This window comes from Homo sapiens, chromosome 11, assembly GCF_000001405.40.
Source record: "Homo sapiens chromosome 11, GRCh38.p14 Primary Assembly".
Classification (NCBI taxonomy): domain Eukaryota; kingdom Metazoa; phylum Chordata; class Mammalia; order Primates; family Hominidae; genus Homo; species Homo sapiens.
Genome location: NC_000011.10, coordinates 30408349 through 30434455, shown reverse-complemented (window position 1 = coordinate 30434455; position 26107 = coordinate 30408349). Strand labels below are relative to the sequence as shown.

Here is a 26107-nt window from a genome sequence, read left to right as displayed (position 1 = left end):
GGTAAACACACCATGGTTTGAGAATTACAGCCCTGCACTCCTCTTTTTATCTCACCTCTGCTGTTCAGGGGCTATTGTGGATGAGCTGGTGATGGTAAGAGGGGCAAGTGAGGAAGGGATATGCCCCATGACCTTGTCTCTTCCCCCTTCCCCTGCGAATTCTGGATCCCTGCCCACCTCCTCTTCAGCTCATCAGTAGTGACATGCCAATGTGGTAGGCAGCATAATGACCCTGCCCTAAAGATGTCCACATCCTAATCCCAGAAATATGTGAATGTTACCTTACATGGAAGAGAGGATTTTGCAGGTGTGATTAAATTAAGGGTCATGAGATGGGAAGATTATCTTGGATTAGTGGAGAGGGCTCAGTGTAATCACATGGGTCCCCACAACCGGGAGGCTGGAGGGTCAGAGTGAGAGTTGTGGCCACAGAAGCAGAAGTCAGAGTAATTTAGGGCCAGGAGCCAAGGAATGTGGGAAGCCTCTAGAAGCTGTAAAAGGCAAGGAATTAGATTCTCCCTCAGAGCTTCCAAAAGAAACCAGCCCTGCCAATACCTTGGTTTTAGTACAGTGAGACTAATTTTGGACTCCTGACTTTCAGAACTATAAGATAATAAATGTGGGTTGTTTTGTTACAGCAGCCATAGGAAACCAATATACTAGGATAGAGTAAGCCTAGATTTCCTCTGAAATGTGAACGAATTTTCTATCTATCTCTGTTGCAAAAGAGAGAAACTTTTATCCCTTTGAAAATTTCCCACTACAGCTTCAGAATAATCATGGGCTTGAGACATGATAGCGAGGGACCAATGTGAGAAAAGAAAGCAGTGACGGGGTGGACCTGCCCTTTGGATAATGTTTCCTAAAGTGACATTCAAGGAGATCGGCTTCCAGGGTTTATTCTGGCATGGTAGTTAAGCACATCTCCCTGTGACTTTGGAAATCTTTAGCCTCTTTTTGCCTCAGTTTCCTCATCTGTAAAATAAGGTTAATCACAGCATTCACCTCAAAGAGATGCTGTGTGTAATGTTTCATATAGTACATGCTACATGGCAAGCTTTATGTAAATGTTAGCTCTTATGAATAGCCATTATTTTAAAAAAGTGAAACAGAATTTATAGGGGGTCCAATATGTTTAGAACAGGATCCATTACATCAAACAGGCTTCTTTTCTGCAGGGTATCTCAGAATCTTTACTATGGTAATGTTCACTTTATACCTTAAAATTGGAGGGAAAATGCAGGAACATTTCTCAAACTTATTTAACCATAGAACCCTTTCTGATCTGTAACAATCTCAGCAAATCAGATTTATTGGTCATAGTATGAGAAACACTACCCTTAAAAGTTACACCAGGAAACCTTGGTTCACCTCTCTCCAACTCATAGTCCCTGTACCCAGCTTCTAGAGCCATCACCGAACTGGAGATTGGGGACCCCCATCAGAACAGTGCAAGGAGAAACATGTGCCTAGTATCAAAAGCTGAAGATTAGAGGCTTTTTTCCACGTTCACATTGTTCTAACATTGTATGTTATCATATCAGTTAGCTTGGCTCCTGGGGACTTGCCTGGGAACCTAGCATTGTTTCCATACCATGACACTTTAGCTCCAACCAGGCAACCTAGAAATAGTTTAGAATGTAATTCACAAGTTGGGGACCTGTACTTTAGCTTCAAAGTAATGCTGTTGATTTGTGAGCAGATAACCTAGAAATATATACATCAAAATGTTTATTTTACTCTTCAAATAAGCAATTTTCAAAAAAGAATTGTGTATTTTATAGGGTGGAAGTATAGCATCACTAAGTTGTATTCATTCTAGGGCGTATGTTTTTAAAAAAAAACTAGTGTCATTACTTTGCACAGGCATGCCTTGTGTAAATATAGGAAATCTAACTTCTGGGGAATTTCATTTCAAGAAATCAGACCTGGCTCACATAAAGATACCTTTCAAAAATGAAATATAGCAAATTTAGTCAAGCTTAGGCTGTTTTGTTTTGAAAGCTATAAAGAAGTAAACTATAACCTGCTTTATTTTTAGCAGACACCTCTAGAAAACCTTGCACAATGTTCTATTTATAAAACAGAGTCTGTTTTCATGCAAAGTTGCTTAGTAATAAGAGAAAAGAGCAAGACTGAGTATCGGAAAAATGAAATGTTTCTGTTTTCAAGATTCCTTGAATTCATCAGCATCTCTTTAAGACACAACAAAGCAATTGACCTGGTTTTAGTTTTGACTATGAGAGGTTACCTGGAGATTGATAAATTGGATTTTTTTTTTTTTTTTGAGACAGAATCCTGCTCTATCCCCCATGCTGGAGGGCAGTGGCGCGATCTCGGCTCCTTGAAACCTCTGCCTCCTGGGTTCAAGCAATTCTCATGCTTCAGCCTCCCAAGTAGCCAGGATTACAAGTGCCTGCCACCACACAGTTTTTGTATTTTTAGTAGAAATGGGGTTTTGCCATACTGGCCGGACTGGTCTTAAACTCCTGACCTCAGGTGATCCACCCACCTTGGCCTCCCAAAGTGCTGGAATTACAGGCGTGAGCCACCGTGCCCGGCTGAAAAAAAGTGGAATTTGAAATGAAAATGCAGTCTGTCTTTTATGAGTTATGCCACTGAGTAAGCGACAGAGGACCTAAATAATTATCAGGTCATTTCAATATCACATTATATAGAACATTTATAATTTCATCATCCTTTAAGGCATTAACAAAAAAACAAAACAAAACAGAAAACAACACAGAAGAAAACGTGGTTGAGTAAATTCAATGGCTATAGAAGATTCTAGAAAGTGAAAGTAATGACCCAATACAACTAGAATGTAGTGTAGGAAACAGGCAGTTTCCACCATCTGCTTTATCATTCTGATCAATTTTGTATCATGCTGTTTCCTAATCTTTACAATAACAATAAAACCAACATTTATTTAGGGGTTATTATGTGCCATGCACTCTGCTAGGAGCTTTATGTGGATTATTTCATTTAATGTTCCCAACAATGTGTCATTGCCATAGATAATATAATTATCTCCATCTTACAGATTGGGAAACAGATTCAGAGAGGTGCAGCAGCTTACTCAAGTTCACACCTTTGGAGGTGTTAAAGCTGGTTCAGACACAGGTCTGACTTCAGAGCTGCACTGTTAAGTGCTACCTAGTGTTAAGTGGAGCCAACAGTGAACCAACAGAGAATACACACACGCTGTGTGCCAGAGGCTCAATGTAGAGACAGAGGCTGGTCTCTAGTCTGCCTTTTTATCGTAATAATCCAGGAAAGCTTAGGAATCCCCCCCAACCCGCTGCAAAAAAAGCCCCACATCATCCATGACAAAAAGAATAGCTTTCCTGTTTTTCTTCACATTTTTCGCAGCCATTTCTTAGCTTCGGAAAACTTAGGTGTGTTCATCTCACCTTGCATATATATATTGCATATATTTTATACACAATTGTCTGTTTACCTGGCTGCCTCCTCATCCTCTTTCATCTCTAATTCTGATTTTTCCTGAATACAGAACCTGGTGGGAAGTCATAGTTCTGCACATGTATGATGGGTGAATGGAAGAGCATGCCCAGATGCAGATTGAACATAGACATGGTGTGCAGTGTATGCTGTGGGCTGGTTTTTCTCAAGCAACATGATGTCTTAAGGATTTTCTGTGTTGCCACCTAGTCTTCAGAATTAACATTTGCATAATATGTATTTTACTGGATATTCCAATCATGGCAAATTTTTTAACCATTCTTTTTTCTGCAGAATTTAGAAATAATTGTTCCCAATATTTTGTTGTTACGAATTACACTGTGTGAACAACTCTGTGCATAGCATTTTTACTTACTTTTGGATTATTTCATTAGGATGTAATTTCTAGACAGGGATTACTGAATCATAGTATAAGCATTATATATGGCCTGTGACAGCATTTTCCGATATGAATATAACGTGAACTACATAGGTAATTTTACATTTTCTGGTAGCCACATTAAAAAGTAAAAACATAAAATAAAATTTGGTTTAATGATATATTCTATTTGACCCAGTTATCAGAAAGCAATCATTTAAACATGTATTCAATATAAAAGCTATTAAAGTATTTTCACATTCTTTTTTTTAATATGAAGCATCCAAAATATGATGTGTGTTTCGCACTCACAGCACATCTCCGTTTTCAGACTAGCTACATCTCGGGTGCTCAGTAAATACGGCTATCATATTGGGCAGCACAGGCCTGTGATATGTCTAATCCAGTATTTTTAAATGACCTTTGCTTTTTAAAAGCCCAATCTTAATTTGCCTTGCCCTTTCCTAACCTCCTCCAGTTACACGTAGTATCTGGCTCATTCCCTTGGGCACTTATTTTAAGCTGTCTTGACTTTTTCATTGTTATGAATATTTTCTTGACCTCTATTTTGTGTCAGGCACTGTGCTAGATCTTGGGGGACACCAAGATAAATAGGACATGGTTTGCAACCCACTGGGAGAAGATAGACATACCCATAACACAACGTGGATTCAAATGCTTGTCGGAATGAGATAGGAAATAATTTTGAGAAAAAAAGACACACACAAGCAAGTTATAATGCAGAGCATGACAAATTCCAGAAATGAGGATTAAACAAAGGGCTGAGGGGATTGGGGAAAGCTTCTTGGGGAAAATCTAATTATGAATTGAGCCTTGAGGGCTCAGTGAAATTTTAATGGGCAGAGATATGGGAGAACAGTTTTGCCTGTGATGATCTTGTTATCCCAACCAGATGGCAGGTTGGTGAAGAGTGGGGCATTGCCTCACATTGCATTTAGATCTCCCCAGAGCGCCCTGCCAGAGTTTTGCAGTAGAAGGTGCTCAATAATGTTTGTTGAGCCCAATTAATAATATATGGTTGGCTGGCACACAGTGAGGGAGACACCGGGTCTGTGTGCTTGCTTTAACCTCTGAATTGAAGGGCAGTCTAAGCTTTTTACTCATTCCTCTGATTGTGTGTACTGCCAGTTTGCAGTCACAGTTTTCTCACTTTACTAAATCGGTCTGGACTGAAACTAGTCGTTTAGAGCCAAAATGGTAGATAAATGGGGGCTAACACTTTAACTTACATCTGACCTCCTTGTCACTTATTCCAATTCCCCCGAGCTTTCAAACAGCACAAACAGGCCACAGGGACAAGAAATGACATGGGAATTAGAAGACACTTATCAGAAGGTGCTTTCCTTTTATTTGCAACTCACACATATAGGCCTTTGTTTGACAATCTTGCTAGAGCCTTAGGAATTTTTGTCTTCATTCCACAGGTAAGGAGACAGGAATTCAGAGAGGGTACTTATTCAAGGTTATATAGCAAGTAAATTGGAAAAGTCATGACTAGAACTTCTCTTTTCTATCTCCCAAGTGAACGTCTTCTTTTTATTCGCAGTTGGCCCACCCATATCAAATGTCATCTTCCATTGCTTTGTGACAGATCTACTCAATTCTTTGGTATCCACATCCTACATCTGAAAAGTAGAGAAAAGGTAAACTTGGAGGTCATATGAAGTATGGAGAAGATAAGTTAGGGAACAAAAACCAAAGGGTTGGTGATATTAATATCTATAATGATATTAACATTCATAATGATGATGATAAGAGTCACCATTTAATTTTTAATCTATATAGGCAGGCTGTCTGCTAAATGTATTACATATATTATCACATTTAATCTGCACAACATACGTGTATGGTTGCTATTTTTATCTCCGTTTTATAGATGAGAAAACTGAGATCAAACAGATGAACTTGTCCAAGGTCATATTGCTAAGTAGAAAGCAGCTGGAATTTGAATCCAGACCTAACTTCTAACCCTCTTAACTTAATCATTGCACTACAAAGTTCTGGTTCATGCCAACTTAGCTTAGATGACCTTAGACAAGTCGCTACAACTTCTATTTATTTTTTATTTTTAGAGACAGCCAAGGCTGGAGTGCAGTGGTGTATCAGAGCTCACTGCATCTTCAAACTCCTGGGCTCAAGGGATCCTCCCACCTCAGCCTCTCAAGTAGCTGGGACTACAATCATGAGCCACCATGCCTGGCCCCCAAAATCCTATTTATGTAGACTGTTTTTCCCAAAATTAATACTTTGCTCACCTCTTGGTAAACTGATAAATGTGAGAATTATTTGTAAGCAGCAAAGTGGTATACAGATATATAATGTTGTGTGCATTTAAACTGAAATTTCTCAGTCAGATGAGAGATATATACCAGCAACAGAGTGATGTCTGGCACTAAGCAGGTGCTCAATAATGTGGCTTATATTCATTCCATGAATGAATTTAAGACTTCCTTTGCTGAAGATGCTTTTTTATTGCCACATATGGAAATGGGTGGTAAAGAGAAAGAAGGCAGGCCGTATGTCAGCTTCCTGAGCAAAAGTCCCCACACCCACTAATTTCCCTACCCCCTTAATATTCTAGGGCATTAATGGGATGTAGCTAGGGAAGAAACCACCTTAGAAAAAGTAGAGTCGAAGTAGATGTTGAATTCTCCAAATTCTTCCATCCATGCTCCACTTGCATTTAGCCATCTGGAGAGTTTTACATTGAATAATTTTTCTTCCAAATGATATATAGTCATTATAGAAAAAGTTAAATAAAAAAAGAAATAGAAAGGGAAAAAAATTCACATCACCCATAATCTTTCCCCTCTCCCTTCACCCCCAGAGATAACCTAACCATTAGGCATGTCCGTCTGTTTCTTTTTCTTCAAAGCATTTTTTACATGTTTGAATTCATACTGATACACGAAAGGTAATACTTTACTTTTCCACTGACCATCAAGGAATTTTCTCATGAACTTACAAACTCTTCATGAACATTCATTCTTAATTCAGCTGACAAATACACATCTTCTCTGTGCCAGGTGATGGGGACACAGTAGTGAGCCAGACTCATTGAGTTTCCAATTGACCTTATGTTTAATGGCTGTATGGTATTTTATTGTCCACTTATCAATTGTCCCCTTTGGGTCTATTTTGCAGGTAGCAGGCTTTCTTGCTAGTAAAATGCTCCCCAACTGTATATCCCCTTGATAATGCCCTAGAATATTAAATAGCATACAAAAGAAACCAGTATTAGCAACATAAATGTGTGACAACACACACACTCATTGTAAATGAAATCAAACGTAATAAAATTGTGAATTCTCCTGTATTTGGGGGCAGAGATTTCATCAGTTCCTACTTGTTTATTAACATCAATTCTTGAGAGTTCGCTATGTAACAAGACAAAATCCAGCTACTCCCGAACCTACCTTTCCTCTTTTTCTTATTTTGTTGGGAAATCTAAGTTAGAAAAACAATCTACCTGCCTGGTTGCCGTGACATGTCTAAAGGGTAGGATGGGGAAGAGGAGGCACAGGTATTCTCTGTGAGTTTCCTGAGTACTTGGCAGTCTTCCTACCTCCTCCCCTGTCCTGTTCGTCCTGTGCTCTGGAGCCAGCCAGGCATGTGACACACGCCACCCTTGCAGGCTCAGTCTCTGGTAGGATGTGGGTTTTTGTGTGTTGTGGTCCTGGTTTCAGCTGCAGGGCCTTATTATGGAATGTATAGGAGGAAACGGAAGGACCTCCCTCCCGCTCACACCAGTCCTGTCACAGATGCCCCAGGTCACCTCCTGGCCTCAGGGCCTGTCTGCATTTGGAACTGCTGGATTAATTTTCACATCATTCTGATGTTCCCCAAGCTCCTCTGAAATTAGGTTATTTAAAAAAGAAGGCCAAAGTTTAAAGACTTCTGTCCAGGGCACTGCTACCTATGAACTGGCTGGCTATGGATTTGTTCTGGAAACTGTATTCAATTTCATTTTCTCAGCACCTGCCATGCTAGAGCCTGGCTCATTATAGGCATCCAGGTGATGTCTGTTGAATGAGTGTATACCCTGGGAGGTACCTTACTGAGCCCATCCTCACTGGGCTTTCAATCCAGTAACTGTGCACTTCACAAAGAAAGGGACTGGGACTTATTATCCGGGTCTCCCTGTGGTCAAGCTTAGTGCCTGGCACCTACTGAGCATTCAGAAACCTTCTTAGATAAAAAAAATGAATTCTGCATACCCACACAATGGCATATCATTCAGCTGTAAAAAGGAATGAATTTCTAACACATGCTACAGTATGGAAGAACCTTGACAACATTATGCAGGGTGAAATAAGCCAGACACAAAAGGACTATTACTATCTGATTCCACTTACATGAAGTACCTAGAATCGTTGAATTCATAGAGACAAAGTATAATAGTGGTTACTAGGGACTGGGGGAGAAGGAATGGAGGAGTTAGTGTTAAATGTGTATAGACCTTCTATTTAGGATGATGACAAGAATTTGGAGATGGATAGTGGTGGTGAAAGTAATCGGAAGTAATGGCAAAAACCGCAGTTACTTTTGCACCAACCTAATACTTACTGCTACTGAATTATAGCTTAAAAGTGGTTAAAATGGTAAATTTTGTGTTATGTATATTTTACCACAATAAAAAGACTGCCATGAAAAAAGGAAAAGAGAAGACAAATATCCCTTTTCTTTACGTCTACTTCTCTCCATCTGTTAAGCCTCCCTTTTTCTTTCAAACCTGGATGATGGGAACTGTGAGATTCCTCTTTGAAGAATTCTCACTGCTGAGGATTGGACATTAGTGCAGGTCCCACTGGGGGCTGCTAAGTTCACCGCGTTTCCTCTCCTCAGGGTCCCAGGGCTGAGCAGGACCAGCCCTTGTTTTAACTGAAGGCACCCTGGTACCTTGTCCTTTGATTTCTGCAGCAGCAAAACAAAGAGCCACTTATGTAAGCACCAAGTCATGTCCAAAATCTGCCTCACCTGTCCACCAAGACAGAAGTCCTGCCATGATCTTTCCTCTGCCTCGTCAGGCTCTCTTTGCATGATGGATGGGCGTCATGTTTCTTACAGCCATGTAGAAGGAAACAGATTGAAAATATTCCCCTTCCTGCTATGAACTTGTTTACAAGATTAAAGGCAGGTATGCTTGAGAGGGCTGGGCGGACACTATAAGATTATTTTTAATAATTCAGAGCACGCCAAGTTCGAAAACTGGTCATGTTGTCTTTTGTTTCTTGGTTTCTACAGTAAACTCTGCTTACACCACCTCCTTTCCAGCAGAGGAAAAGAAAATCGGTAACAGAGGCTTAATGCTGACACTTGTTCTTTATTAGTTACAAAAAAGGGACACAGCGGGTGTGTTTGTAAAGATGTCCACGTGTGCTGCCTGGGTTTAAGAAGCCCCCATGAGTAGCTCATGGGGCTCAGGTGACCACCTCAGGCACAATTTGTTCCTTTCCTGTCCATGACACACAGACCACATTATTCACCCAGGCCTGCCCTTTATCAAAACAATATCTCTTTTCATCCCAAGGATCTCATAACGAAAGACCAAGCTACAAAGTCGTAGTGAAGAGATGGGATCAGACAGCTGGTGAGAGAGAAGCCAGCACTACCCTTTGGAGGCAGCTGGGCTGGTGGTTTGGGCTAGCCAGGCTTCCCAAGCAGCTGCAAAGGGGTGGAAATCTTGCCCTGATGTTAAGTTTTCCTTCCCTCTCCTAGCGATGTCAATTGGTGTGTGTGTGTCTCTTTGCTGCACAAGGTGTGAAGTTGCTCTGTGGGCTAATGCAAGACATCTTTTGAATTGTGCAGAAGAGGAACTTCCAGGCTGCCCAGAGGAGGGACTTGGGAGTTGGGGGTGGGGTGGTACATGGCCTTCCTAAACAAAATCCAGAGCTAAGAAGGGAAAACGAGGCAGGGAGGGGAGGGAGCAGGGGCCAGGTGTCTGCCTTTCATCTGGATATTCAAGATGACACATCTGGTGCCAGGAAAACTGCTATTTCTAACTGACGGGGAAGCTTTGCAGTCAAGGGAGGGCTGAGCTGTCAGGTGAGCTAGAGATCAAGAATTATCATGACAGCTTCATGGCATGTGAAAGGCGCTGTGAAGTGCAGTATGATTTTAACCAGCGGTGGTTAAATTAGCTTCTCTTGGACCTGGTGTGATGTGCAGTCGGAGAGGGGCCGATGGCGGCTGGGAGTGCCAGGCGTGAAGAAGGTTGCAATTCAGAAGGGCTACCATTTAGAAAAGAAAGCGTATGTGAAAATTGGCTCCCGGTTTCTGAGTTTTGCTTAATAGAGGTGCCAGGCAGCAGTGATGGCATTAATTAGTAGCTTGTCAATTCCTTCGGTGAACCTCTCTTCACCCCCTATTATAAATATTCCAAGGACCCAAAGTAACCGCTTGTCTGAACTTCCCCAATTTAAGATCTTGTCAAAATCTGACCACCTGTACTAGCTGGCTAAGCAGCCTTGACTAACCGTTTTGCCCTGTGCTCTTGCATTCCACAGGATTGTCCATGCAAGACTGAGCCAGTGAGGGAGCGAGCAAGTGAGCGAGTGAGCGAATGGCTTTCTGAAAAACTTCCACTCAAAAGTGAACTGAGGAAGTACCTTTTAATAAGTAATCAGCCAGAGGAAATCAGGCTCTGTCTAGCCATCTAGAAATGCTTGCCTATGCATTGGGGACTTTCAAAAGTCTGGAGCAGGAGGGTCTATGATTTGATGGACCATGGCTTGGGAAATTCTAGGAAGAAAAAAATAATGTGAGCAATTCTCTCTGTGTATGTATATATGTACACACACATACATGTATGTGTTAATATATATCATATGTAAATTAAAAGCTGTACATTAACCCTCTGTGCCAAAAATTTTACAAAAGTTCATTCACTTTATCCACATAGGCAAACATTCTGTTTTTATTTGTAAAAACTGAAGTCCAGAGAAGCCAATAATTGGCCAGTCTGGAACTTGAACTTGGGTCTGTTTGACTCCATAATCCATGCTCTTAACCGTTGCCTTCAAAATAAGAATGGCTAACTTTTAAAGAGCCTGCAGGTGCTCGTTACGCTAACTGGCACAGCCAACCTGCCAGCTCCTAAAGTCTGGGTGCTATGTGATCTTTGCACTTTCCCCTTCACAGCTTCTGTGCCAAATCCGAGCACAGCTGCCCCAAGGCTTCCAAGCTGTAATCCCTGCAGAAGGTGCCCAGAAGACTATAGTAATAAGAACCCAAGTCTTTTTGATGCAGCCAGCTCAGGACCTGTCTGTGCATTGAAAATTTGTGGACGTTGATTTGTAACACCAGGGCTGTGACCCTGAGTAGCCCACCTGAGGATAACAGGCACCAACTTCCTGTTTCCAAATCCTGCTTTCCTAGGACGCACCCAGCCCCCACTGAAGTTTGTGGGGGAGTAAATTGCTATTCACCTGTCCAAGCCTCCCTGGATTTATGGCTTGGCACCTCCCTTCTGCCTGCACCACCGTACTGTGTACTGCAAACACAGATGACCTTTTCAGCGATTTCGTCCTAACTTGCTTCCATAAAGAAAACCTGTTTTGTATTGACATTGTTTGGAGTAAGTTCTGCCTATGTTAACTCCCTTAGCCCCTGCCCCTGGAATTTCAGCCCAGGGAGGCCAAGTGCTTACAATTTCAAGAGCAAGGGGGAGGGTGCTTTGAAAGCATCCCCAGCTTCCATCCATCTGAGTCTTTGGTCCAGTGGCTTCAGGCAGATGGAGTTGCTCTCCTTCCTTCTAGTTTTCTAATCTCTCCCTAGAAGGGGAGAGGTTGCAGGCTCAAATTGGCCCACTGGCAATAGGGTGCTTTGTGGGACATTTTTTTACAAGTTGGTTCCCATGTGGTATTTGTTAGTCACAGCTAATTATTAAGTCCTTTGGCTGAAGCAATAGACATTGTTCCCTTGGATTCCCTCCTCCTCCTTTCCCCCCTCACCCCCATTGCTACACAACAAAACCCATTGTGGGGCTCTGGAGGTTGGCTGTGCACGTATTTTCCAGTGAACCCCTGATGGGCTCACTGCTGGGGTTTCATGTTTCAGGTTGAAACTCAACTGGATAAAGCATTATTCATTGGCACTGACACATTCAGTGTTCTGCTCTGTGTAGATATTTCTCTCACACTAGACTTGGTCCCTCACAAGCAGTTTAGGTAATTCACTGAGAGCAATTCACTGCAGTTACTCAGAACATGGATAATCTGCACAGAACTATAAAATATTAGGATTTTTAGATATGGAAAGATCATCAAGTGCCAGCTTTGGCCAGCTGTGTTCAGAGGTGCAGGTTGGAAAGGAGGAGGGAGCTGAGTGAGTAAGCAGGCTCCAAGTTCCTTCTTCCCAGTCCCCACCTTTGCATTTGCCTGCTTTGTGCATTGCATTTCTGCGTAAGATTTCTACAACCTAAAAGCAATCTTGAAATCCAGTAATTGAGTCCACTCTCATTCATTGCTCAGGTGAGGAAACTGAACCAGTGAGGACCTTTTGCTAACCTAAGGTTCAGGTGAGCCAGTGAATTAATTTCAGCATGAGAATTAGCACACACATCTCCCCACTTCTGTATGCCCCATTTGTTATGCCACGCTGAGATAATTCTGGAATCCATCAGTGGGCTGCTTTTTCCATTGCCTGCCACTGTCTTGTGGAAAGACCTTACCTAGAGGATTTAGAGGACTGGAAAGCCCCCAGAACAGCCATATCATACTATGTTTTTACTAAAGGCCACCTCGGTTGCACAATTCCATGGCACCTCTTGGAGCTGTACAGTACACAGACTAAGATTCTGTATGGAGCAGCCTTACTTTTACTTTACATATATGAGAGCAAAAACTGAAATTGTGCTAGTAGGTTTTGGTCAGCATTGTGCAAGGGAAGAACCCAGGCTTTGGAGCCAGCAGATCTGGGTTCAGATCTTGGCTCTACTACTTACTGGTCCTGGGAACATGGACAAGTTACTTGATATCCCTGATATTCAGGTTTTTAACTAAAAATAGAGCTGATAATACCTACCTTAAAAATTGCTGTGAAGAACTAAATCCAATAACTTACGTAAAAGCTCTAGGTAAAAGCACATCAAGGCCATGATAAATGTTTTTTTTTTTTTTCCTGGAATATAACTGCTCTTCTTCTCATACACATATGGATCTGAGTTGAAATAAAAGACAGACATTGTTAAACTTCATCCTTAACTTGGAAACTTCTGGATTTTGTCACAGCTTAACATTAACCAAATGAAATTTTGGGTCTCTATAAATATAGACCATAGGTTTGTCTTATCTTTTACAGAGCACTTATAAAACTGAGGATTTCCTGGGGGAATATGGCTGTGGGGTTTTAAGAGAAAATTCTGCAAGGGAAAACAGGAAAGACTGAAAAATTTAAGCCCTGTTCCTTTGCCTCTGGAAGCCCCTGGGTGTCCTGTGGGTTCAGAGATTCACTATCCTCGCTGACAGCAAAATCAGATCTCCTCGTTGTAACAACTACCTGAGTGTGCTTGAGACTTGTTAAAATCCTTCTTTATTAGACGTCCAGATGAGAACCATAGGCCCAGAAGCTTGTTTTCAAAATCTAGCAAAACAGATGCTTTTGCTTGTTTTTCTCTGTCTCTCTTTGTCCAAAATGCTCACTGAGTTTTCATTGGGTTTCGAAGTTGCCTTTTTGTTTTGTTTTTACTTTTAAAACAAACCTTAGAAGAGGGTCACTGTAAAATAAAGGGGAAGGATGGGCATCCCAAATGAGAAAAGCTGTATTTTAGACTCTAATAAAAATGTTTAAGAACCTGAAGGTGAGGAATCTTAAAGGACAAGAGAGAGAAAGACTGATTCTTTGAACTCTAGAAGGGTCTACCTGGCATTATCCCCAGGCCTCCAATGCCAGGTGCCTCCCAAGCAAATTGAGGTAGGAAAGAGAGCACTACCTTCTCCTCTCTAAAAGCACTGCATCTAGCTGAGCAAGGCGGTGTGGCTGTGTTGACTGACCATGTGCCATATGTCAGCTGAGGCCCAGGGCCACTCCCAGGTCCCTGCATTTTATAGGCAGCTCAGACGTTGTAGGTACTGTACCAATTTTCTATTTCTGCTCTATCAAGTCACAGCAACTTTAGTAGCTTCTAACAACACATATTTATCTTACAAGTACGTTGGTCAGAAGTCTGACATGGGTCTCACTGGACTAAAATCCAGGTGTCAGCAGGGCTGCATTTTTTTGGAGGCTCTATAGGAAGATCTGGGTTTTTCGTAACTTTTCCAGCTTCTACAGGTTGCCCACGTTTGTTGCCTCCTAGTCTCCTTCTTCTGTGTTCAAAGCCATCAATAGCAGGTTGAGTCCTTCTCACATTGCATCACTCTGATCTTCTTTTCTACCTCCCTCTTCCAGTTTTAGGGACCCTTGGGGTTACACTGGGCCGACCTAGATAATCCAGGATAATCTTACTATTTTCAGGTCATCTGAATTCCATCAGTGACTTTAATTTCCCCTTGCCGTGTACAGTAACATTCACAGGTTCCAGGTATTAGGATGTAGACATCTTGGAGTGGAGGAGACATTATTGCTTACCCCAGGTACATACAATGATTGTATATATTAGGACTTTTTAAGTTTCAAGAAACAGGATCTAACTAAAGTTAATAAAAAGAACAAGATTTTATTGGCCCTTAGAAGGAAAAGTTCAGTTGGCTTCAGGTACAGCTGGATGCACATGTTCAACAACATCATTACAGTCCTCTCTTTTTTGTCTTGGGTTTCTTTGTGGTGGTTTCTCAAGCAGGGGCTATCTATAGGACAGATAAAATAGCTCCCTGGCAATTCCAGGCTCATATAAGTCTTAAGATTCAGGATCCCAGAGAGAAAACCCTGACCTCTTCTTAGATAGCACCAGCCAAATCCTGAGGGTGACTCTCATTGACACAACTTGGGTCATATGTACATCCCTAAGACTCATTCTAGAACAGGGATGGAATCAGTCTTACCAGAAGCACATGTACTGAGTGGGAAAGGGAGTGGTTCTCCAAAAGAAACTCAGATGTTGTCACCAAAAGACGGAGGAAAGATCTGAACAGACAAAAGCAACAGGTATCCACTCCACTATGTTATTACTGGATTTCAGAACCATGAAATTGATATATTATTCCAGTTCAGAGCTCACTAGGCTTCAAGCAACAAGATACTCAAGCTTGAAAGAGTACAGAAGAGTCTCACCCAGAGCAAGGAGTAAATTAATTCAGATAGTATATAAGAAGAGGAATTATATGGTGGCAAACATTGTTTTTGGAACCAGACTGCCTGGGTTTATATCCAAGTTATTAATTGTGTTTACCTAACCTCTCTGTGCCTCAGTTTCCTCATTGTAAAGTAGAGATGATAATAGTGCCCACCTCATGAGTTTGCTGCGAGGCTTAAATGAGTTAATACAAATAAAGGGCTTAGAATAGTACCTTGACACAGAAAAAGCATTAAATAACACAATATAATTATTCTCCTCATATTCTTATTTCTATTATAAGCAAGCACCCCGGGCATGGCTTAAGGACTTGGAAAGTGGTTAGGAAGCAAGTCTGATACTTTCCTAGTTTCTCCTTTTCTGGCTAGGGCTACACAGTCTCTTCTCTCTGGAACTTTCTCCACCATATCAGCGTGAACTGAGGTTTGCACGTATGCCACAGATTTTTGCATGGCTTTCAATGACCATTCTTCTCGCTCTGGTCTTGACTATACATGTCCACCACCAAATGAAAGCTGTGTCAGTGTTTCTAAATTCAAATTCTTGAAAGAATCTGATTAGTCTGGCCAGTGACTGGCTTTAAGTAAGTGTGCACTCCATTTGATTAGCTGTGATTGACAAGGTTAGGGTCACTTTATACACAGGTTTACCTCTTTCATTTGGCATGGAAGGGGCAGGTTAAACTGAAAGGGTAAGTTGGGCTTGGCCAGAAAATTGACCGACTTGTCTGTTACATGTATGCCTTAGCAAATTAGAATTTACCCACAGAACAAAATAGAACAGTTTTAAAGAATACTGATAAGATCTAGATGTTTGGGAATAGGATAACACTGGGAACTACTTAGTTCTAATGTGATTTAGCCTGTAGTATTTGCAGAGAGAAATTGATCAGTCTCCCATTACTTGTATCTTAAATGGTAGAGACATTTTCAGCACCGATCAGAAATGCTCAATGGATGGACAAAGACTCATTCCCTTCTACATGGAACATCAATCTCAAAAACTCATTCTTGGAGCAGAAGTTCCTGGGATGGAAAAAGGCTCATGTTCATTGTCAGGAGAGTGGATTCCAGAGTGACCAGGGATGTCCCCAAATCTTCCCTTTGGTGGCAGAAGAAAAGTTCTGTGTTTACTTTCTGTTTACTGTGTTCCTTCTCACTTTTCAGAGCCCCCGTATTTTTTCAGAAATCTCACTCCAGGGTATTCAAACCATCTTAATGGACAGAGTGCCTGTGTCAGAGCCCTCATCCTTTTCTCCAAGGACTTTAGTGAGAATCTTTCTGGAAAAGTAGAAAGATTTTCTCCTCCCTCCTCACTCCTCCCCTCACAGTGATTGTGAGGGAGAAGGAGTACTGCAGAATTTCTTAGCTGTGAGATGCTACAGGAAGGGTGGAAATGCTTTGGATCGGGGCTGGGTATCTTAGGAAGCACTGAGATTTAGGGGAAGACAAAGCATTGTCAAGATTTTGATAGAGGCCTGCTGGGAAAGTCTCCACTGTAAAGGCTCTTGTGCCCCTTTCTAGTGGAACAATTCGTAGGCTCCACGCTTACTTTCAAATGGATTGGTTTTGAAGCAGTCAACAAAAAAGCATCCTGCTGCCAGGGCCAACCATCAAAAAGAGAAAAGAGAGCAATGCAAACCGTGGGGGAATGTGCGAGAGAGAAATATTGCAGAGCGGAGCCGTGGCTCTGCTGGCCTGATACCATGTGCATTATCTCCCCCAAAGGACCCCGTGGTTTAATGGATGGGGCTTTAACCTACCCAGAGGTCAGTCTCTGCTGGACAAGTGGAACCTCATCCCTGAGGGCATTGACATACTCATGACACATGGACCTCCTCTAGGTAAGTGAAGCAAAGGTTGTCCTTTGTCATCCAGATGCCTTTTTTTCCAGGCATAATGAATAATGCTTCAGGGACATAATCATTTTCCTCCAAAAAAAAAAAAAAAGTGAATACGAGAAGAAAAGTCAATGTCTTTAAAGAAACTCAGTATGATAATTAAACTCAGCAGTTCTGCTGGGCTTACAGGTGTTCTTGAAATTAAATTTTTTGATTTAGTCAAGTCAGGGAAAAATCAAATGAGTATGGTGTGCCACAGTCTTCTGAGCTTGATAATTTATTTTAAGAACTGTATTCACTTTGGAGTAAGGGGGTGGGGTGGAGAAAGGAAGGAAGATTCGGACCTCCCAATCACAGGGCTTTTGAATGGCAATGAAATGATGGAAATTTTTATTCAAAGGAGCTCATTTTCCTTTTCCATATAATGCTGGAACCTGGAAGACCTTTAAAGTTTAACATTTGAGCTGATAATTTTAGAAAAGAATCCTTTTTATAAGCTGAGGTATTTCAGTAAGAACTTACACTGAAAGTTACTTAAGGATACTTACCCTACAGGCACATGGAGGCTGCATCCAGATTTATATTGTCTGTGTGCTTCAAAGCCTACCCACTAGTGAGCCACATTATGGGCCAAAGAATGATCAGTTGACTTATTACCTTTTAATTTTTCACGAACTTGTTATCTGTTGGTTTAGCTACAGAACATCCTTCAACAAGGACTACCGCCCTGATCCCACATCTACTCAGTACCCATTATGCCAGGACCCTTTCTAAATGACTAAGGTGTGCTCAAGAAATTCAGATGTTTCACTTTTAATAGAAGACTGTTCGATTTTTTCTTTCTTTTTAAAATTGTGGCTAAACACACACACATACACACATATAACATGAAATCTACCCTTTTAACACATTTTTCAGTGTACAATGCTAAAAGAGTTTCTTAATCATCTTGGTTTGGAGAGAGGGAAAAAACACTTTATACAAATATAAATAATTTCCACAAATTTTCCTGTGGTTTGGAGTTTTTATCCATGTTACCCCCCTCCTTTGCCATCCCTAAAAATAAAAAGAAAAAAAAATAACATTCATTTCCTAATGCAAGTTTAATTTTTGTAGATATTTTCTCCTCCAAGGCACTTGGTGCTGCTCTCCTTCTCTTACAAGGGAAGTGGCCCATGTTTCACAAAGAAACAGTGGAAGTGAGCACCATGGCGGAGGCCATAGTGGCACATTTTAGTGATGGGGGAAGCAAGAAAAGAAGAGCCAGCTCTGTTGCAGACATGGGAATTATATAGATTTGCACAGGATCAGCAGTTCCTGACTTCTTTTAACACTTCAGAATCACCATTCCCATGCTTTTTCATCATCCCCAGACCACCTCAACCCATGTTTTAAAATATTACACTTGTCAACAACCTTTATCAAGTCATAATTAACTAAGTTCCCTATTTTACAACCATTAGAGTAGCTACATCATTAAATTGCTAGCTAAATATTGTGATCAGCATGAGTTACCCAGTGAGAGCATCCTACAGAGTTATCATTTCAGCTACCTTCATCCTTTTGCCTGAGCAGCCTAATTGGGTGCAGGCATGATTTCCCTTTGGCTATTTATTTCAAGGGACTTGGACATCTTCAGCAGAGAAACATTTACATGACTCGAGTATTATTTGGAATACAACTTTGAACAGAACAAACTTATCAAGTCATTGATTTTGGTATAAAAGCAAATGGCAATAAGAGTAAGTCTGAATTGTAGACTCCAAGGATTTCAGACATCCCAGGAACTCTTAATAGGGAAGCTAGCATCCCTCTCTTTATGGTAAAGGTGGAGTAAATGAGAGAGTGGCTGTGAGTAGAGCAGAGTGACAGCTACATCAAGGAGTTCCCAAATAAAAGGTCAGGCAAAGTCTTCCTAAGGTATTGTTAAACCTTAGTTAATATAGCTATTGGGATTCTTGTGAAAACGTGACATTGGAGAGGGGAGTGGAGAGACTGGCCTTGAATTTCTTCCTGCTGGTGAGGGATGCCACAGTGCCGTGAGACTTCACTGTTATGGTATAAGCAAGATGCTTTCTCAGATGTTTGCATATGAAATGGAATATTTTCCCCCTTCAGGAAAAACACATGCATGAGGTAATATGCCAATCAATGTAGCTTAAGAATTCTGCCCCACTATTAAAAAAGTTTTGAAAACGCTGGATAGATTTTTGCTGGGGACCCCACTTTCATCTATTTTCAGACTCTCTAGTCACTCCTTAAACCCCAGCGAATATGTCTTTACAGAGACACTAAACGTTCATGTCTGCAGTTTGGCCCGAAAAAGCAGAAAGCTGTTCCTTACTGCCCAGTTATTTCTAAATAATAGAAATAACCTAATGGCGCTGTGGAATGGGTTTCCAGAGATTACGATTTAGCCTTTCATCCTACCTGCCTTCTTTATGCCCTATCCTGCTGAGGCGTATGGATTCCATTCCAGGCCATAATCATCCAGATAGCTGACTTTTGCTATAATTGATGTCAGTTTTTATGGATTTTCTGCATTAAGTGTAGAACTAAGTGGCTTTTACTTTAAAAGTAGTCAATTAGCCCCAGCTTGCTGGATGCCACTGTGAGGTCACATTTTTGCCTGTCGCTGGAGAGGACAGGACCACAGGAGCAACCTAGCTTTCCAAAGCTTTGGTCATCCGGAACCACAAGGGGTAAGACTTAGTGTATCTAAAGAGAGCTGGGTATCTTGTGACCAGTTTACAGGCAGCTCCTCTCAGTCCTTCTTTGAATCATCTTAGAAGTAAACTGCTATAAGAAAGATATAATAAAATAGCGAAAGTAACTGAATTGAGGGAGAAAGAGATATTATGGGACTGCCGGGAATAAATGTCATTGAGCTCATGAAGAAGATTTGAAACCCATGGCTGAATAAATCAAATCTCCTACAGAAAAAAAAATGTTAATTAACAGGAAGAAAAAAAAATGGAAACCAAAAAAAAATTTCAAGAACCTAAAGAAGACAAAGTGACGAGTGAAAAGTTTCTTAAAAGCCATTGTGAGCTTTAATGGAGAGGCTAGGATTACAGATAATGTAATAAACCTTCTGTGAGTTATGGCTTCCTGAAAGTCTAAATGAAACCTTACCTGAAGAAAGAAAATTAAGTGTATTGATTGCATTTTGCCCTTAGGTTTTCGAGACTGGGTTCCAAAGGAGCTTCAAAGAGTGGGCTGTGTGGAGCTGTTAAACACGGTTCAGAGGCGAGTCCGGCCCAAGCTCCATGTGTTTGGTGGAATCCATGAAGGTAAGAACAGCGGAAAAGAATTCAAAACATTTTGTGCCCCTGTCCACTATCTCAGTCTACAACTAGGAATAAGTGGAGTAGTTGTTTTCAAACTTTTTAGCAGCGGGACCCTTTTATAAGATGAAGTCTTATGAGAAACATCTGAATATAAAGCTGATAAATATTTTATATGGACCTTCTCTCTTGTAAACAGAGTGGAAAGTAGGAAGCACGTCTGGTCTACTAACTGCAAACCCTGCACTCCCCCTGGCAGCTTCTGGAATCTCAGGGCTTTAACGAGGAATGTTTGATAACCACTGCTTTAGAGCAACCCCAAGGTATACAAGGAGTCATTTTCTCCTTAAGAGAGTTAGAAGAAATGGTCTGGATATTAGAAGCTATTTTAAGCCTCTATAGTCCCCTCCTACCTGTAAATATTGTGTTTCATATGGAATTAACACAAAGACCCAGGAAGACAAGGCATTCTCTGAAAAATAGCTTAGGACATGCAATGAAAGATATGTAACAGAAGTGGCGGGAACCTGCACATTTGCAGGTAGACTTTTCCTTACTAACCTCAGAAAACTATTTCAGACTTCTCAGAAATCATCGGAGCTATTAGCTCAGGCTGAGGTTAAGCAGAATAATTAAATCTCTCTTAAATAGGAACTGGTCCAGTTGCCATTTTTCTGCCTTTCAAGGTAAGCTGAGTCAGGTTCACAGAACCGAAAGCCTAACAGGAATCTTCAAGGGATCTGGGTTTTCTCCGACCTGCCTTTTTCAAATCATGGGTAACTGGGCTTTGAGACAGACACAAAGCCCTCTTTCAGCAAGCCTAAGGATTTCTGTCCCTAGCAGATTTTCCCAGTTACACACGCTTGTGTGCAATGGCCGTGTTTACGTGGGCAGCCGCTATATTCTCTCTAGCTCCTGCTTATGGCAGCTCTCTGGAGTTACTTATGAATATGCAGTCAAGTTGAGGTGTTTAAGGCTGTGTGCCTGAGGAAGCAAAAAACAAAGTTTGCTTTTTCAAAGCCCACAAATTCAGTGGCTTCCTGGTTAGGTGGGTAATAAAGAGCATATTGAAAATCATCCTACTGAGGCCAGAGAAAATTCAGTTTGCTCCAAGGGCAGGTACCAGCTGAGTGGGTGGAAAGCAGGGTGCAGCTCCCAGAGAGTGGATATCGGCCTGCCCTGGCTTTGAGCTATGCTCCCTGAAAAGGAGGGTACTGCCCTAAGGTATGATGGAGGGAACACCAGTGATGGGGGAATGCCTGGAGGGGAGACTAGGGAGGTGGGACCTCATATCTAAACTAAGCAACATTTCTGGAGGACTGTTATTCTGAAAACAGGTCTGAATTCGTGCAGCATGCCTATGAGTTTGCATTTTATCTTTGAAAAAAATCATTAATTACCTTTAAACTAGCCAGACAATTGGGGAATTCCACTGAAGCCCCAAAATAATAAACTTGCCTAAAAGGGAGGAGATCATATTCATATAAACTTGTCTCACTTTTATTCACTTAAGACAGCTGAAGAGGGCAGGAAGAGGGCAAATACCAACCTCTTGATGGAGAGAGATAACAAGACTTTATGACCCCAGAACTAAACAGCGCAGATTTTAAATGCCTCTTTTCTTTTCTTAAGAGATTTTTCCATTGACCCTCATTAAGTTCTCCACAGGCTTTACTTGGAGAAATTTTAGCCAATGTGGAAAAAAGCCTTTTCAGTTACTTCTCTATATCTTGGTAATTTTATTTTTTTCACAGCTATGTTTTTATATGCGATAAGAGCCTGATACCAACATAGAATCTTAGTTGAAGAGGCTATAAGGCAAATATAAGGTATTCAGGGAAATGTGCCAACTTGCAAACATGCTAAACATTTTATCATATTGAAAATTATCAAAGGAACATATATACCAAAGACCTAGGGAAACAACTTTCTCCCAATAAATCACAAAAGGTTTATATTGCATATGGGAAGTGTTTTTGCTTGATCTAGTATCCAGGTAAGCTTAGGAAACAGTGACCTAGGGTGATGTTTCTACACATCACTTCGACATGTGATTAGCTGACACTTTTGAATGAAATGGAACTTAGTATTAAAGCCACACAATTCAAAAATCATATATGGTTGACTTTCGTAAAGGCAGTTAAGAGATTATTTCATAAATAAGTAAATTGAGTGTCTACATTTCTTAACTCTCAATGCAGTATCCTTTCCCCCCTCACCTGCCCCATATCCCACTTGGAATTTAGTTGTGTTTGCCCCTGAGGAGTAATCCTTATATTACTCATTTTATTCCCTAGAACTCAATAGTTAACACAAGGCTTTGAAATGAAAATCCTATTTTAAAAGGAGGAAAAAAGTTTTTCTTTATTCTCCCTAGTAAAGAAATCACAGCCCTTCTTCAACAAGTTTAGCATTTAAATAAAGAAAAAAAAATTGCTCTTAGTTGAAGGAGAAGATTCTACCATTTAAAGAAAATAGAGTAAAATTGGGCAGTAGCTTCTGAAAGTCATTATATCTGAGGAGGCTCAACTGAATTTCATCTCACTGCCCACTGACAAAAATTTTTTGTTTTCCTTGCCTGACAGCCCTACATTCCATCACTCTCATTTGTATATATTACAGTAAATGTGACACGCTCTCCCCACAGGTTATGGCATCATGACCGACGGTTACACAACGTACATCAATGCCTCGACGTGTACAGTCAGCTTTCAACCGACCAACCCTCCAATTATATTTGACCTTCCAAACCCACAGGGTTCCTGAAGCTCTAAATGCCCTATTGGAATGTGAGGGAAGGTCTATAAACTGCCATTTTTCTAATTATAAACTTACATTCTCTTACTTATTTACAAACCCTGTGAGTTCTTTTTGTAAATTGTTGGAACACAAATGATGCTAGAGGTTGTGCTTCTTATTTTATTTTATTTTAAATGGGGCATCCATTTGAAATCAGAGGAACATTGTGAATTTGTAAAATGACTTCTGTTTTCTCAAAGGCCATGCCATTGTAAATTGTTAGTGTTCGCCAAAGGACAGCCAAGCTTTCTTTTAAAAAGTGATAAAAGTCTTATTTTAATATGCTTTAAGCTGAAAGAAAAAAAAATAAGAAACAGGCAGTGTTTTAAAAACCAACACAGATTTGCACAACTGTTTAAGAGTATTGTTTGAAATATTTTAATTTTCAATGTTTTGTTGTTGTTGTTTTCTTGGTAATGCTTCTTTTTTGCAGATGTGGTCCCAATTTATAGCAATCTTCTCAACAGAAGTAGGCATGGAAAAGACTTCTTTTCATACTCTCACTATAAAGAAAGCTGCATTGAGAAGAAAATGGCTGTCATTTAAAGGATGGTTTAACTAGTGAGATTCCTATTGTGGTTATACAAGGTCTCATTGTTTGTTTGTTTCTTTTAAATTATTTCAGCTTTAAAAATACAGAAATGGAATCTGTCAAGAGCAGGTATTTCATACGGTTAAAAAAATGAACATGCAGACTCCTTTTCAATATGGGTTTATATATATAAGTATTTTTTGTGTATTATGACTACGTTAGGAGTTTATTATTGTCAAGGACAGTACAACTGCAAAGGGATGCTGTATAGCAACACATCAGAAGTCGGAAGGAACTGACACATTCTCTCAGAGCTCAAGGTCTTAAAGAGCTTGAGTTAAATCTAGGTACAGTTACAGGCATGTATAGACTTAAATGGATGCAATGGAAGCTAACTAAAATAAGGCTTAGTTGTCCTTTCTATTTAAATACCCCAAGTTGTCTTCTTACTTCCTCTCCCCTCTCCCATTTTGCACTGTGTGTCGATGCAATCTTCGCTAGCACAAAATATTGTCGCTAATAGTCATTTCTGTTTTCCCATTGTAAATGCTGTTGAGCTTTATTCTATTTTATGTTACTTTGTTAATGAAATTTAGGAAAGCAGTTGTTTCTTTAAATTTATTGTGATATTCTATATCTAGCGGCCTTTATATGCAAATAAAATTGCAAGATTTTTAAATTCGTGCTGTTTAGAGGGTTGGATGGTGGAGGATGGTAGTTTCGTCCTGGGGAAGGAGGGATTTATTCATATGCAACATCAGTAATGCCTTTCAGAAGAATTAGAATAAGTGATTTTTTTCCCTAATTTTCAATAAATTTTTATTACCCACCATTCACAGGCTGGCAGATAGATCGATAAGGCACTCAGTGTACTCTTTCCTTCCATCATGCTGTCATCTGTCTTGCCTTAGGTTTCATCTTTGGCTGTTGTAATTTCTACAGGAACAGAGAGACTGGAGTTAAGGCTGTGGATTTATTTTGGGCAAGTTTGTGATAGTGAGTTTGGGGAAACCGTTGATGACAGAGTAATCACTGCACATTCTCATTTTCCCCAAGAGCAGTCACCATCTCCTCCTCACTTTTGTAATGATGCCCACCCACAAAATGCTGTGGCAACCAAGAGGGGATAGCAGAAGGGTGGCGAAAACCAGAGAAAATAAAAAAGACATCACCCAGAAGAACCACTGAAGCAAAACAGCATAATCTTGGATCTGCAGTGCACCCTCAAAGTCTTATGTGTCAGGGCTCATTGGATTGTATTCTGGATATATGTTCCTTCCTCCCTACCTATTGTGGATCCTTTGGCGCAATTTCTGAAAGGTGTTCTTGATTTCAGTACCAGCAGAATTGACAGAATGTTCTAAGCCAGAATTCCTGCTCAGAGTCACATGTAACCATCTTGGTCTGTTGTAGTTGTTAATAGTTATTAAGTATCTTGGATGTCACCATAGGCTGTGTTGGACATTTGGGTCCAAGCTTGCAGAGCAGATGCTTGAGCTTCCCATGGGCTTCCCAGAGGGAGCTCATGACTGTTGCAGCTAACATGGACCGAAAGAGGTGCTATGACAAGTGGACAACACTTCCTTGACCTTCTACATCAGTAGAAGAGGGTGTTCACTTCAAGCCCCATCCTAGGGGGTTGGAGTGAGAGGTACACTACTGAATGGAAATTTCACCTGGTTAGTGTACTAGAAGCCAGAGACTCAGGCCTCTGGCTTCTGGAAAAACAAGCCTCCCAGAGATAGGTGGGTAATCACGATCACAAGTATGTATGCCCAGCCCTTGAGAGTACGTCTGGGCACAAACTAATTGAGCTAAGCACTTACTAAAATTGCTTTCCATTTTGTGGAGGCAGGAAGCTACCCAGTGTACTAAAACTAGAAGGCAGACTCATTTGTGGATAAAGCTTTCTTCAGCCAGTCCACCATTTCATATGCACGAGCTGCCTCTGAGGGATTTGTAAGCACTGTCCAGATGCCCAGAGCTTTCTACACTGGGCCTTACAACAACAAAATATTCAAAACAGCTCTTACAAATTGGGCACTTCCTATCCGTCCATCACCAGGCACCCTGTTGAACAGGTTGTGTATTTTGTTACTAATCTTCACAGAATCCTGCGTAAGGTCACATAAGCCTCGCTTTACAGATAGGAAAGTAAGATGTACCAAAATTAAATAACTTTCCCTAGGAAAAATGGAAGGTTCAAAAGCAGATCTGTCCATAGCCCATGCCCTTTTAATCATTCTTTGTCTGGACTGGATAAGTTGATGGATGCCCTCTGAGAGCTGATATAAGACAGGCACGGTGGCTCACACCTGTAATCCCAGCACTTTGGGAGGCTGAGGCGGGCGGATCACAAGGTCAAGAGATTGAGACCATCCTGACCAACATGGTGAAACCCCGTCTCTACTAAAAATACAAAAATTAGCTGGGCGTGGTGGCACATGCCTGTAATCCCAGCTACTCCTAAGGCTGAGGTAGGAGAATCACTTGAACCCAGGAGGCAGAGGTTGCAGTGAGCGCCGAGAGAGTGCCATTGCACTCCAGCCTGGGA

General features: G+C 41.0%; 1 protein-coding gene across 25 annotated transcripts in view, besides 1 other annotated feature; it reads left to right on the top strand.

The window, feature by feature from the left end:
• MPPED2 (metallophosphoesterase domain containing 2) overlaps positions 1-26107 on the top strand; it is a 202912-nt gene that overhangs the window by 152535 nt on the left and 24270 nt on the right. For 22 of the 25 annotated variants that reach the window (NR_165336.1, NR_165339.1, NR_165341.1 and 19 more), the window contains 3 exons: positions 16823-16938; positions 20115-20228; positions 22870-24232. Coding sequence is in view for 12 of the 25 variants with exons in the window: in NM_001440302.1 (NP_001427231.1) it covers positions 16823-16938; positions 20115-20228; positions 22870-22988 (349 nt within the window). In the remaining 13 variants the exon portion in view is untranslated. Of the gene's footprint in view, positions 1-16822; positions 16939-20114; positions 20229-22869; positions 24233-26107 lie in introns of those variants that run through there. The other 3 variants (NM_001377956.1, NM_001145399.3, XR_007062496.1) reach the window with 2 other exon arrangements.
• Positions 11053-11553: an enhancer, noted in NCBI's record as "H3K27ac hESC enhancer chr11:30444450-30444950 (GRCh37/hg19 assembly coordinates)". NCBI's record gives its function as "activates a minimal SCP1, AML or CMV promoter by ChIP-STARR-seq in naive H9 embryonic stem cells {active_cell/tissue: H9 hESC(naive)}" and the evidence as "EXISTENCE:reporter gene assay evidence [ECO:0000049][PMID:30033119]".